This window comes from Homo sapiens, chromosome 13, assembly GCF_000001405.40.
Source record: "Homo sapiens chromosome 13, GRCh38.p14 Primary Assembly".
Lineage (NCBI taxonomy): Eukaryota > Metazoa > Chordata > Mammalia > Primates > Hominidae > Homo > Homo sapiens.
The window spans coordinates 21408213-21421758 of record NC_000013.11 but is presented as its reverse complement, the minus strand read 5'-3'; the positions used below and the strand labels follow the sequence as shown (position 1 = coordinate 21421758).

General features: G+C 39.5%; 1 protein-coding gene across 15 annotated transcripts in view, besides 1 other annotated feature; it reads left to right on the top strand.

Annotated features, from left to right (window-relative positions):
- ZDHHC20 (zDHHC palmitoyltransferase 20) overlaps positions 1-13546 on the top strand; it is an 86733-nt gene that overhangs the window by 37545 nt on the left and 35642 nt on the right. For 12 of the 15 annotated variants that reach the window (NR_104487.2, NR_104486.2, XR_007063672.1 and 9 more), the window contains 2 exons: positions 595-698; positions 7987-8107. Coding sequence is in view for 11 of the 15 variants with exons in the window: in NM_153251.4 (NP_694983.2) it covers positions 595-698; positions 7987-8107 (225 nt within the window). In the remaining 4 variants the exon portion in view is untranslated. Of the gene's footprint in view, positions 1-594; positions 699-3472; positions 3553-4373; positions 4784-7986; positions 8108-13546 lie in introns of those variants that run through there. The other 3 variants (XM_017020525.2, XM_047430247.1, XM_047430246.1) reach the window with 3 other exon arrangements.
- Positions 11104-11961: an enhancer, noted in NCBI's record as "H3K27ac-H3K4me1 hESC enhancer chr13:21983937-21984794 (GRCh37/hg19 assembly coordinates)". NCBI's record gives its function as "activates a minimal SCP1, AML or CMV promoter by ChIP-STARR-seq in primed H9 embryonic stem cells {active_cell/tissue: H9 hESC(primed)}" and the evidence as "EXISTENCE:reporter gene assay evidence [ECO:0000049][PMID:30033119]".

The window sequence follows — 13546 nt, the reverse complement described above, 5'->3', positions numbered from 1 at the left end:
AAATCTTTTGAAATATTTTGGAATGTTAACATTAATCTACTTGGGAAACAGTTATGTTAGATATTCAAAATGGCCAAAACTTTTTCTTGTTAGCCTGTATTGAACAGGGGAATGAAATTTAGGTCACTTTTTCTGAACAATACAGGGAATGAGTTACTCAGATGTATTCATCATTTATGGTGATGGTAACTTATTTACTTTCAGTTGACAGTTCCTTGGATGTAATGTTCATAGTAATAGATTCTGTTTTAAATAATTTTAAGTCATTTAAAATGAGCTTTTGGAGAACTTGAAATATAGTGCGTGAAGAAAGTGTTTTAGCTTAAATCTTCAGCAATTTAATACAATCAAATCTCCTCTTAAATCTCATCTTATAAACCAGACTGATAATCCTTAAATATAGGAACAGAATATTTCTTCATATCTAGTAATGTTTCCTCATGCAAGTAAAGTTTATATATTTGATGTTTCAGTACATTTTAATTTAATTGTTTATTGGATTCGGCCTCCTGACCCAATTATTGTGTTTTAATGTAATGCTTTTTGCTGTTTTCACCTGGATTCAATGAACTGTTATTTGTTTTTATTTACCAGGAAAGACCGTTGTTTACCTTGTGGCTTTCCATCTGTTCTTTGTTATGTTTGTATGGTCCTATTGGATGACAATTTTCACATCTCCCGCTTCCCCCTCCAAAGAGGTAAATTTAATGTTGGTAAATTACCAAATGTTTTAACTGATTATGGAATTTTTTTTCCCTTGTGTTACCTTTGTTAAAACTTTACATAATGCATGTGTTCTGTTTCCATTCATAAAACTGCTTGGTTGCTCTGTACTGTGAATGTGAGTCATCAGCCTATTCTCAGATACAGTCCACTGACACAGCATAGTAAAAGTTCAGCGGTATAGAAATGCTTACTATTTTTCTGCCATGCTATGTGTCTTTAAAGACATACTTTATATTACTGGAATAAAAAGTCTCAAGGAACAGAATTGCGTTAGGAAAGTAGAGTTTATTTTTAGAAACTCTCAACATTTATATTTTCTCAGGCATGAACAGATATGCTGCAATTAAAGAAAGTTTTGTGATGGAAACAAATTGTCTAGGCTATTGCTTGCTGCACTTTAATATGACTAGTGTTTCTTCTAATTGGAGGTTCCATTTGGAAAATAATATAGGTAAACATTTATGTGGAGTAGGTTTTATGACCAGTGTCTCTCTTACCTCTCCATAGCTGACTGAATTCTTCCTTCACCGAAAATTTCTTATAGCAAGGTGGTTAAGAATATATTCTCTAGAGTTAGAGTTGTCTGAGTTTGATCTTTTGCTCTAACAATTTAATCTCTCCAAGCTGCAGTTTTCTTATCAAAAAATGGAACTAACAATTGTGCCTGTCTCTGTAGGATGTTTGTAAAGATTGTGAGGTTTATTCAGTTAAAACATGCATGTATTTATATATTTATTTATTTATTGAGATGGAGTTTCGCTCTTGTCACCCAGGCTGGAGTACGATGGCACGATCTTGGCTCACTACAACCTCCGCCTCCCAGGTTCAAGCGATTCTCCTGCCTCAGCCTCCTGAGTAGCTGGGATTACAGGCACGCATCACCATGCCCGGCTAATTTTTGTATTTTCAGTAGAGACGGGATTTCCCCATGTTGGTCAGGCTGGTCCTGAACTCCTGGCCTCGGGTGATCCACCCGCCTCAGCCTCCCAAAGTGCTGGGATTACAGGCGTGAGCCATTTACGCCCGGCCTAAGCTTTTAAAATACTAGTGTACCTGCCACATTGTTAGGACTCAAATATTAGATGATGATGATAATGTAATCGTTTCCCTTTGTGTTAAATTTATCAAAATCATTAAAAATTATAGACCATATGTTTAAAAATAGTATCAACTTCTATTTAACTTTGCAGTGAAGAACATATATACAAAAAGTATGCATATGTGTACACACCTGTGTAACTACCACCCAATTCAAGAAACAGAACATTACCAGAACCCCGTCAACCCCTGATGCTTCCTTTCAGTCATCCACTTCATAAGAGGCCACTCTCTTGCCTTCTAACAGCATAGATTAGTTTTGCCTGTTTTTGTATTAAATATAAATGGAGTTTTCTAGTGGTGTGTGTATGTGTATAGTCATAGTCATATGTGTGTGTGGCTTCTTTCATTAACATTCTATTTGTAAGATTCATCTGTGTTACGTATAGTTGCAGATCATTCATTCTCATTATTGTTTAGTATTCAGTTGTAGTATGTAACACAGTTTGTTTACTCGGTCTACTGTTGATGAGCATGTGGGTAGCCTCCAGCTTAGAGCTGTTACAAATAGGGCTGCTATAAACATTCTAGTGCATGTCTCTTGGATAATATATATGTAGTTCTTTTGGATAGATGCCTAGGAGTAGAACTAGTATATATACATTTAACATTAGCAAGTAATGCTGTATAGTCTTTTGCCTGCTTTTTCTATTAGATGCTTTTGTTTTAAAAGGTAAAGTAAACTATAAGTCAAATTTTAGTGTTGCTTCAAATGTATTCATCAGGCATTTGTTACTAATTAGTCAACCCTTAAAGTTATGTTACAAACTATCCATTTCTTAATCTTGAAATTGAAAAGGACTTAATTTTATTTAATCAATTACTAGTAGTGATGACTATTGAAAACATAGCATGTGTAAAAAGTAAATAATTCTCATTTCAGGAAATAAGAAATAGAATAAGAAAAATAATTGGTAGTACTTTTGAGAAGCAGTATAATGTAGAGGTTAAGAATGCAGGCCAGGCGTGGTGGCTTATGCCTGTAATCCAGCACTTCGGAAGGCCAAGGCAGGCAGGCAGATCACTTTAGCCCAGGACTTTGACATCAGCCTTGGCAATGTAGCAAACCCCATCTCTACAAAGAATAAAAAAAATTAGCTGGGCATGGTGGCATGCACCTGTAGTCCCAGCTACTCGGGAGGCTGAGGTGGGAGGATCACTGAGCCCATGAAGGTTTAGCCTGCAGTGAGCCGTGATCATGCCACTGCACTGCAGCCCAGGCAGCAGAGTGAGACCCTGTCTCAGACAACAGCAACAACAACAGTACCACACAGACTCTGGACTAAAACTGCTCAGGTTTAGCTCATACTTCTGCAGCCTACTAGCCATGTTAGCTGTGTGACTTTGGAGACTTTCCTTAGTTGATCCCTCCTCTGTAAAGTGAGGGTGATACTAGTACCCACCTCATAGGATAGCTATAATAATTGAGCAAATTAGCAATCTATGTAATTAATAATAGATATTAATATATGGAGTTAATAGTGTATATAAAGGGCTCAGAAGAATGCTTAGCACCTAATAAGTACCATCAAAATGTTGTTGTTATTTTTTTTGGTGGTGGTTCTAGCATATTGCATCCATTTAGCATTCAGCCCAGAGCTTAAGCCTTTACATCAACTTCTCCTTCATTCTCCTCTACTCCTATAAGGTCATCTGACTGCCCAAGCCTGTATCCAGTGACCTTGCTGTGGCATGCTCCATTTGCCCTGTCAGAGAACTTATCATCTGGTATTGTAATTGCCTGTTTACTAATATGCATCACATTATTAAATTTTAAATATTGTGAGGGCAGGGATATTTACGTTGCATTCTGCACTATATCCCTTCCCACACTATCTGGCACATAGTGGATTTTCAGTAACTATTAAATTAATTAATTATTAAATCTTCATGGGCCAGCTAAGCTAAGCTCTAGAGACAACCAAGAACAGGAATTTAAGATTCTCTTTGTCACTGAGCTTACAGTGTGCTGACTGAGGTAGGCCTGTATAAGCAATTACAAAGCTGTGAATTTGATGTTAATGTAATACCAAGCTCACAGCTTTGTTAGGAGGATTCTGTCAGCTCAGAAGTTGGTGCTAATATAACACCAAACTCACAGCTTTTATTAGGAGGATTCAGTCAGCTCAGAGGTTAGAACAATGCTTGGAGATCTAGGTCTAGGGGAATTGATTGGGTCTAAAAAGCAAAAACTAGGGCCAGACGTGGTGGCTCACCCCTATAATCCTAGCACTTTGGGAGGCCGAGGCAGGTGGATCACCTGAGGTCAGGAGTTCGAGACCAGCCTGACCAACATGGTGAAACCCCATCTCTACTAAAAACACAAAATTAGCCGGGTGTGGTGGCATGCTCCTGTAATCCCAGCTGCTTAGGAGGCTGAGGCAGGAGAATTGCTTGAACCTGGGAGGCAGAGGATGCAGTAAGCCAAGATTGCGCCATTGCATTCCAGCCTGGGCAACAAGAGTGAAACTCTGTCTCAAAAATAATAATAATAATAAAAAGTAAAAACTATAAATCTTTAAGGAAGTTAAGTTATAAATACGGGTGGGGTGTCTTTTCTTTTTTTCATTGTTTCAATCCAGTACTTCTTGACCACCCACCGGATATCAGACTGTGCTAGGCTTAAAGGTAGAGACAGACAGTAAACAAATAATTAAAAATTGTGATAAATTTAGAAAAATAACATGGTAATATGATAGAGTAGAACAAAGTAAAAGCTACTTTCGGGGAGAAAGAGCTACTTTAGATAGTATAGTCAGATAAATCTCCGAGGAAGTGGTATTTAAGCTGAGACCTTTATAAGTATCTCTTCCACTAAGCTTTTTGAAGGAAAAATCTTTGTTGTTTATTCCTGTATCCCCAGTACTTAGAATCAGACCTCGTATATAACAGGCCGATTGATAAAGACTTAAATGAAGAAATGGTGAGGAAGAGGCGGCAGCATGTGAATAGCTGATAGGTATTTCCCATCCCTTCCCTGACTATAATCCTACAGAGTTTGCCAGTTAGCTGTAAGATAAAGGTCATGTTCGTTTGCATGGTACACCAAATCCCTTCATGAACTAAAATCTTACTAATTTAATCTTCATTGCTTCTTCATGGAACTCTATACTCAAGCAGTGTATTGAGCTGAATATACTGTACTATTTTCACATCCTTGTGCTTTCTGTATGCTGTTCCCTTTGCCAAGATTTTCTTTTCTTCTCTGTCTTCCTGAAAGATTCCTGTTTATCTTTCAAAACTTAGGTACACTGCCTTCAAGAAACTTTCATTGATATCTCCCACTGCCTCCCAAGGGAGCTTTTATCATACCTTGTAATATATTATTAATGTTGTACTTTATGCTGATTCGTATTTTGTAATTCTTTGTTTATATGGCTCTCTTACTAGACTATAGAAATATACTTTTTGAAGGCAATGGTTGTTTTTATTCATCTTTGGATCTCTGATATCTGGGACAACACCTCACTCTTAATTGGCATTTAATATATATTTAAATAGAACTGTCTGAACACTGAATTTAAGACAATAATAGCATTTCATAGTTTGAATTCTGTTCACTAGTTTTGAATAAAAAGACAAACTTGTAGTACTAATTCAAAATTATGATCTGTTTGAATATTTGTTTTGTTCCATTCCTCATCTAAAATTCTGATGTCTCTTGAAATTTTCGTTTGGTTTAAGCTTTTCATAATTTTATAACCTTCATTCTTTTTTTTTTTTTTTTTTTTGAGATGGAGTCTCACTCTGTCACCAGGCTGGAGTGTAGTGGTGTGACCTCGGCTCACTGCAACCTCCACCTCCCGGGTTCAAGCAATTCTCCTGCCTCAGCCTCCCGAGTAGCTGGGACTACAGGCGCATGCCACCACACCCAGCTAATTTTTGTATTTTTTTTAGTAGAGGCGGGGGTTTCATCATGTTGGCCAGGCTGGTCTTGAATTCCTGACCTCGTGATCCACCAGCTTCGGCCTCCCAAAGTGCTGGGATTATAGATGTGAGCCACCACACCCAGCCCATAACCTTCATTCTTAAGGAAAAGTAATGATGTTGAGTAGCAGTAGAGAGGCTTGAGGCCTGGGATACTACTGCAGACTAGGAATAGGATAGCCCAGGGAAATCTGTTGAAGTTTTATAAGGAATCTGTAAAATTTGATCAGAACATCTTCTATTCAAATATATTTAACATGTTACCATGTGATTTTTATACTCTACTATGAATATGTAAGAGACACATCATGTCAGGAAATAACTTTCTAACAAGTTAAAATTCTCTTAAAAGAGAACATGCCATCTTGCAAAATAGAAAAATATTTCTCTCAAAGTATTCAAGAGGGGCCCAATCTGTCAGAAATGTCTGAAGACCCCTGCTTGTGATGGAAGATTAGATAAGGGGCCTCCATTGTCTTTAAGACTTTTTCATCTTTAAGATTATGTGAGTCTTTCCTGACTTCTTACTGTCCTGTTCATCTGTCCATGTTGCTTCTTGTCCCCCATAAGTAATTTGGGGGTTTCTTGTCCCATCACACTTTGCTTGTGGAAGCTGAGCTAGGTAATCTAAATAGACTCTTCTATTTCCTAAAGTATGGTGTTTTAGTCAGGTTAGAGTAACTATCTATAAAAAGCAAAAACATTTATTTTACACTGTAATATAGAGGAAAATGTACCAGAGTAGAACACAGAAGACCCGTATTTTACTGTTGGCTCTGCCAGTAGTTCTGCAATCTTAGAAAATTGCCTAAGTCTCTTAGAATCATAATTTCCTCAACTCAGAGCTCTCTCTACTATGCCAAGCTATTGCCTTGTTTATAGCAGAATACCGTGTTGTTAAGCTAATACCATTAGCAATGATGGGGCAGCAAGAGGAGGAGACATTTTGGTATTTGAGTTAGCAACTAGACCAAATACTCCTTAAACATGGAAAGTCAGGATTCCTTAGGGCTTTTTAAGCAGAACCTTACAAGTAAATAAAAATTGAGGAATTGTATTATTAAAATATAAAACACAATGAAGAACAAATCTCAAGCCATTCTTAGTTTTGTTTTTTTTTTAATCTATGAAATAAAGACTGATAGAAACCTGTAGTTCCTGGTAACATGAAATTAAGGTGTAAAACTTAGGATCCTTGAGATGTTAGGATGACATATGAAAAGAACAATTAAACATAAACAAGTACTCTGAAGGGAAAATGCTATTAAGAGAAACGAACCAGAGGCTGGCCACACATGGGAACAAACAGTAAGAAGTGAAAACAAGAAACAGCCCTAGGCCGGGCGCGGTGGCTCACGCCTGTAATCCCACCACTTTGGGAGGCCAAGGCGGGCAGATCACGAGGTCAGGAGATCGAGACCATCCTGGCTAACACGGTGAAACCTCGCCTCTACTAAAAATACAAAAAAAAAAAAAAAAATTATCCGGGCATAGTGGCGTGCGCCTGTAGTCCCAGCTACTCGGGAGGCTGAGGCAGGAGAATGGCATGAACCCGGGAGGCGGAGCTTGCAGTGAGCCGAAATCACTCCACTGCACTCTAGCCTGGGCGACAGAGCAAGACTCCGTCTCAAAAAAAAAGAAAAAAAAAAGGTCTATAAAGGACTCTGTCCTTGAAAAGGCAACTATGCTTGCCTTGACAATCTTTCATAATTCTGGTGAAACTAAGTCCTATTGGTTAACTTTTCGAAAGCTAAAAATGGTTAAAAAAAAAAAAAAAAAGACTCCTTGGCCTTCATGAGACATTTGGCTAGAAATTAGCGGGACCCCATGACTGTGATTTAGCCTTTCACCCAAAGCAAGTAAATCTTTGGACATTCTTGCAAAAATTAAAAATCTCTTGACAGTAACTTTTAAACAACTAAAATTTTTACTAATGGAGACTATATATTAAGCCTTTCCTGTGTAGAAATTTAATTTTATTTGTGAAAAACGAAGATGGAAAAATATTTAGTTCATATTCTTTGCCATCTGGTGTGGAGGGCAAATATTTTTTAATATGCCAAAGGTATACAGTTTTTGTTAAAATGTACTTGATTTATCTGCTTTTTTTTGAAGACAAGTTTTGTCTTCATAAAATAGTTTTTGGTTTTCTTTTTTCTAGATAAAACTTTTTCTGAGCATGATAATTAACATCATGGGATTAAAAAAATTTAATAGTCCTCTTTCCTTTTATAGTTCTACTTGTCCAATTCTGAAAAGGAACGTTATGAAAAAGAATTCAGCCAAGAAAGACAACAAGAAATTTTGAGAAGAGCAGCAAGAGCTTTACCTATCTATACCACATCAGCTTCAAAAAGTAAGAAAAAGAATAAGTTTTCCTTTTCAAATGATTTTTAAAGTATGCTTATTCCTGCCAGGATATATTTGCATGGTTTGACTATTAAATGGATACTATGATTGCCATAAATAATATCTGTAGCAACAAGACTTTCCTGTTTCCTTACTGTATTTCAGATGCAGAAATAGATATATAAAAATAATAATCAATATAAATTGTTTAAGGGGCCCGCTTTAATATGAATCTCTTCTGTACTTGTTTTTTTCCCCCAACTCAACTTTCATGGCTAAAAATTTTAATTATTATTCTTAGTAAACTGTCATTTGGAAGTCTGAATTTGAGTATTATGTGTCATCACTGAGTAATTAAAAAAAAATCCAAAAGTGTGCTAAGAATGGGGAACAGTAAGAGACACAAATAGGAAGAAACTTGTTCAGATGTATAAGGCTAATATTCTGAGAGTCAGGCTGTGAACTCAGGTTTGTCTAGTTCCAAAGCCCTTGGTGTTTCCTCTGTACTAATGCTTCCACTGAGATCCATGACTGTAACAGCAGCTTCCTGTTCCTAGGTTGTAATCTTATGACAGGGAAGAGTCTATAAGTGGCTGGTCGTTTAAATACAGGGAATTGTTTTATTTTGTTTATTTAAAAGAATTTTTTTTTGTTGTTTGGGAAATTGTTTTTTTTTTTTTTTTTTTTTTTTGAGACGGAGTCTCGCTCTGTGGCCCAGGCTTGAGTGCAATGGTGCAGTCTCAGCTCACTGCAACTTCCACCCCCAGGGTTCAAGTGATTTCCTGCCTCAGCCTCCTGAGTAGGTGGGATTGCAGGCACATGCCACCAAACCCGGCTAATTTTTGTATTTTTAGTAGAGATGGGGTTTCACTATGTTGGCCAGGCTGGTCTCGAATTCCTGGCCTCAAGTGATCTGCCCACTTTGGCCTCCCAAAGTGCTGGGATTACAAGTGTGAGCCACCGTGTCTGGCCTATTATTTTATTTCATTTTCCCTTGATTGTAGGTCTTCTAGGTGGTCTGTATCCAGGGCCTCACTTCCTTCTAGTGAATTCCAGGCAACGGGCTTTCATTCTCCCTACCAGGATCAGTGGCGTTTTGTCATTCTGTCTTCTTGAAACGCTTTCCTCTTTGTGTTTTTCAGTAGTTTTATACTTCTGTTTTTGTTTACTTGTATGATTGTTCTTCTTCATCCCACATTTGTTGTTTTCTCCTATGTCTTAACTTCACAGTGGTGCCTTACCCCATTTTTTCTGTACTGTCCTTTCACCTGTTACTTTTAGCCTTGGAATTCTAGTACCACAATATTGTGATCATTTGCTTATTGTGCTGCATAATTTGTTTTATTTAATAGTTTTCAGTAATGAGTTACCTTCTTAATAGAAATTACAACAGATTCAAGGATGTTAACATACTGGCATTCACCTACATTCCAAACCCTTTCTTGTGTGCCAGGCCCAGGGGTAGATTTGCAGCTGCATTCAAGGATTGCACGTCTACAGAGTGGTCTGCAATCTAGCTGCACCCTGGGATGCAGCACCCTTCCTGTTGTTTCAGAGGTGGGAGCTGCAGACCTCTGCCCAGAGCATCCAATCGCCACTATCAAGACTTCATCATTCACCTTGGCATGTGCCCTTCAATCCAGCGTTTGTAGCTCTCACTAGAGCTCCACTCGTGTATTTGCAGCTTCCAAAGGATAGCTGTACTTGAATGGCCTATTATGCAAAGCTTCAAGCTCCTACAATACTGGATTCATCATTTAAAACCTAATATCTTGGGGGAGGGGCCAAAAGTCTGCCTCGTTCACTTCTATATTTCCTGCATCTAGCAGTATTTGTCACGTGGTAGAAACTCTAAATATTTGTTAATGAAAAACACTACCCTCACACAAACTCAGCTCTATTTCTATCCTTGGCACCGTCATTCTTCTAGCTACCCTAGAAACTCAGATTTCCTTTGATTGCTACTTTTTGAGTTCATTCTGCTCAGTCATCAAGCCTCCTTTTCTTACAAGGTCTGTTTGGTTTAATCCCATCTCAGAGCCTAGGTAATTTCACAGCCTTTGCAATGTCAGAATGTTGAGTGGAGAAGGGTAGGGGAAAGAGAAAAGAAGATACTCATTCCTGATGTTACCACTCGCTTAGCCATACAACCTTCAACAGATGACTTTCTAACCTTTGGGGTGTCTTTGATCTGTAAAATGGAGAGATTGAACTAGGAAATCTCTAAGGTCCTTTATAGCTCTACTTTTTCTACATTATATGGTTTTACCTCCCTAGTGCCTAACCCAGGCAAGGTGTTATAGAAGGCCCTCAATAAAATATAACATACTCGGTCAATCGGGGCAAGATGGCCAAATAGGAACAGCTCCAGTCTGCAGCTCCCAGTGAGACCAACGCAGAAGGCAGGTGATTTTTGCATTTCCAACTGAGGTACCCTCTTCATCTCATTGGGACTGGTTAGACAGTGGGTGGAGCCCACAGAGGATGAGCAGAAGCAGGGTAGGGCGTCGCCTCACCCGGGAAGCACAAGGGGTCGGGGAACTCCCTCCCCTAGCCAAGGGAAGCCATGAGGGACTGTGCCGTGAGGGACAGTGCTATTCGGCCCAGACACTATGCTTTTCCCACGGTCTTCGCAACCCACAGACCAGGAGATTCCCTCGGGTGCCTACACCACCAGGGCCCTGGGTTTCAAGCACAAAAGTGGGTGGCCATTTGGGCAGACACTGAGCTAGCTGCAGGAGTTTTTTTTCGTACCCCAGTGGCACCTGGCACGCCAGCAAGACAGAACTGTTCCTTCTCCTGGAAAGGGGGTTGAAGCTAGGGAGCTGAGTGGTCTTGCTCAGCAGATCCCACCTCCACAGACCCCAACAAGCTAAGATCCACTGGCTTGAAATTCTTGCTGCCAGCACAGCAGTCTGAAGTTGACCTGGGACGCTGGAGCTTGGTGGGGGGAGGGGCTTCTGCCATTACTGAGGCTTGAGTAAGTGGATTTTCCCCTCACAGTGTAAACAAAGCCGCCAGGAAGTTCCCACTGGGCAGAGCCCACCACAGCTCTGCAAAGGCACTGTAGCCAGACTGCCTCTCTTGATTCATCCTCTCTGGGCAGGGCATCTCTGAAAGAAAGGCAGCAGCCTCAGTCAGGGGCTTATAGATAAAACTCCCATCTCCCTGGGACACAGCACCTGGGGGAAGAGGCAGCTGTAGGCACAGCTTCAGCAGACTTAAACGTTCCTGTCTGCTGGCTCTGAAGAGAGCAGCTGATCACCCAGCACAGTACTCGAGCTCTGCTAAGGGACAGACTGCCTCAAGTAGGTCCCTGACCCCCATGCCTCCTGACTGGGAGACACCTCATACAGGAGAGCTGCAGCTGACATCTAGAGGGTGCCCCTCTGGGAGGAAGCTTCCAGAGGAAGGAGCAGGCAGCAATCTTTGCTGTTCTGCAGCCTCCGCTGGTGATACCCAGGCAAACAGGGTCTGGAGTGGACTTCCAGCAAACTCCAGGAGATCTGCAGAAGAGGGGCCTGACTGTTAGAAGGAAGACTAACAAACAGAAAGCAGTAGCATCAACATCAACAGAAAGGATGACCACAAAAAAACCCCATCTGAAGGTCACCAACATGAAAGACCAAAGGTAGATAAATCCACGAAGATGAGGAAAAACCAGTGCAAAAAGGCTGAAAATTCCAAAACCAGAATGCCTCTCCTCCTCCAAAGGGTCACAACTCCTTGCCAGCAAGGGAACAAAACTGGACCGAGATTGAGTTTGACAGATTGACAGAAGTAGGCTTCAGAAGGTGGATAATAAACTCCGCTGAGCTAAAGGAGCATGTTCTAACCAAATGCAAGGAAGCCAAGAACCTTGATATAAAGATATGGGAACTGCTAACTGGAATAACCAGTTTAGAGAAGAACCTTTGACTTGATGGAGCTGAAAAACACACCACGAGAACTTTGTGAAGCATACACAAGTATCAATAGCTGAATCGATCAAGTAGAAGAAAGGATATCAGTGATTGAAGATCAACTTGATGAAATAAAGCATAAAGACAAGATTAGAGAAAAAAGAATGAAAAGGAACGAACAGAGCCTCCAAGAAATATGGGACTCTTTTAAAAAAGATTAACAAAATAGACCACTAGCCAGACTAATAAAGAATAAAAGAGAGAAGAATCAAATAGACACAATAAAAAAATGATAAAGGGGATATCACCACTGATCCCACAGAAATACAAACTACCATCAGAGAATACCATAAACACCTCTACACAAATAAACTAGAAAATCTGGAAGAAATGGATAAATTCCTGGACACATATACCCTCCCAAAACTAAACCAGGAAGAAGTGGAATCCCTGAATTGACCAATAACAAGTTCTGAAATTGAGGCAGTAGTTAATAGCCTACCAACCAAAACAAGCCCAGGACCAGACGGATTCACAGCCAAATTCTACCAGAGGTACAAAGAGGAGGTGGTACCATTCCTTCTAAAACTATTCTAAACAATAGAAAAAGGGGGACTCCTCCCTAACTCATTTTATGAGGCCAGCATCATCCTGATACCGAAACCTAGCAGAGATGTGACAAAAAAAGAAAATTTCAGGCCAATATCCCTGATGAACATCAATGTGAAAATCCTCAATAAAATACTGGCAGACTGAATCCAGCAGCACATTAAAAAGCTTATCCACTATGATCAAGTTGGCTTCATCCCTGGGATGCAAGGCTGGTTCAATATACACAAATCGATAAATGTAATCCATCACATCGAACCAATGACAAAAACCACATAATTATCTCAATAGATGCAGAAAAGGCCTTCAATAAAATTCAGCAACCTTTCATGCTAAAAACACTCAATAAACTAGGTATTGATGGAACGCATCTCAAAATAATAAGACCTATTTATGACAAACCCACAGCCAATATCATACTGAATGGGCAAAAGCTGGAAGCATTCCCTTTGAAAACTGGCACAAAACAAGAATGTCCTCTCTCACCACTCCTATTCAACATAGTATTGGAAGTTCTGGCTAAGGCAATAAGGCAAGAGAAAGAAATAAAGGGTATTCAAATAGGAAGAGAGGAAGTCAAATTATCTGTGCAGATGACATGATTGTATATTTAGAAAACCCCATCGTCCCAGCCCCAAAACTCCTTAAGCTGATAAGCAACTTCAGCAAAGTCTCAGGATACAAAACCAATGCGCAAAAATCACAAGCATTCCTATACGCCAATAATAGACAAACAGCCAAATCATGAGTGACCTCCCATTCACAATTGCTACAAAGATAATAAAATACCTAGGAATAAGCTTACAAGGGATGTGAAGGAGCTCTTCAAGGAGAACTACAAACCACTGCTCAAGGAAATAAAAGAGGACACAAACAAATGGAAGAACATTCCATGCTCATGGATAGGAAGAATCAATATCGTGAAAATGGCCATG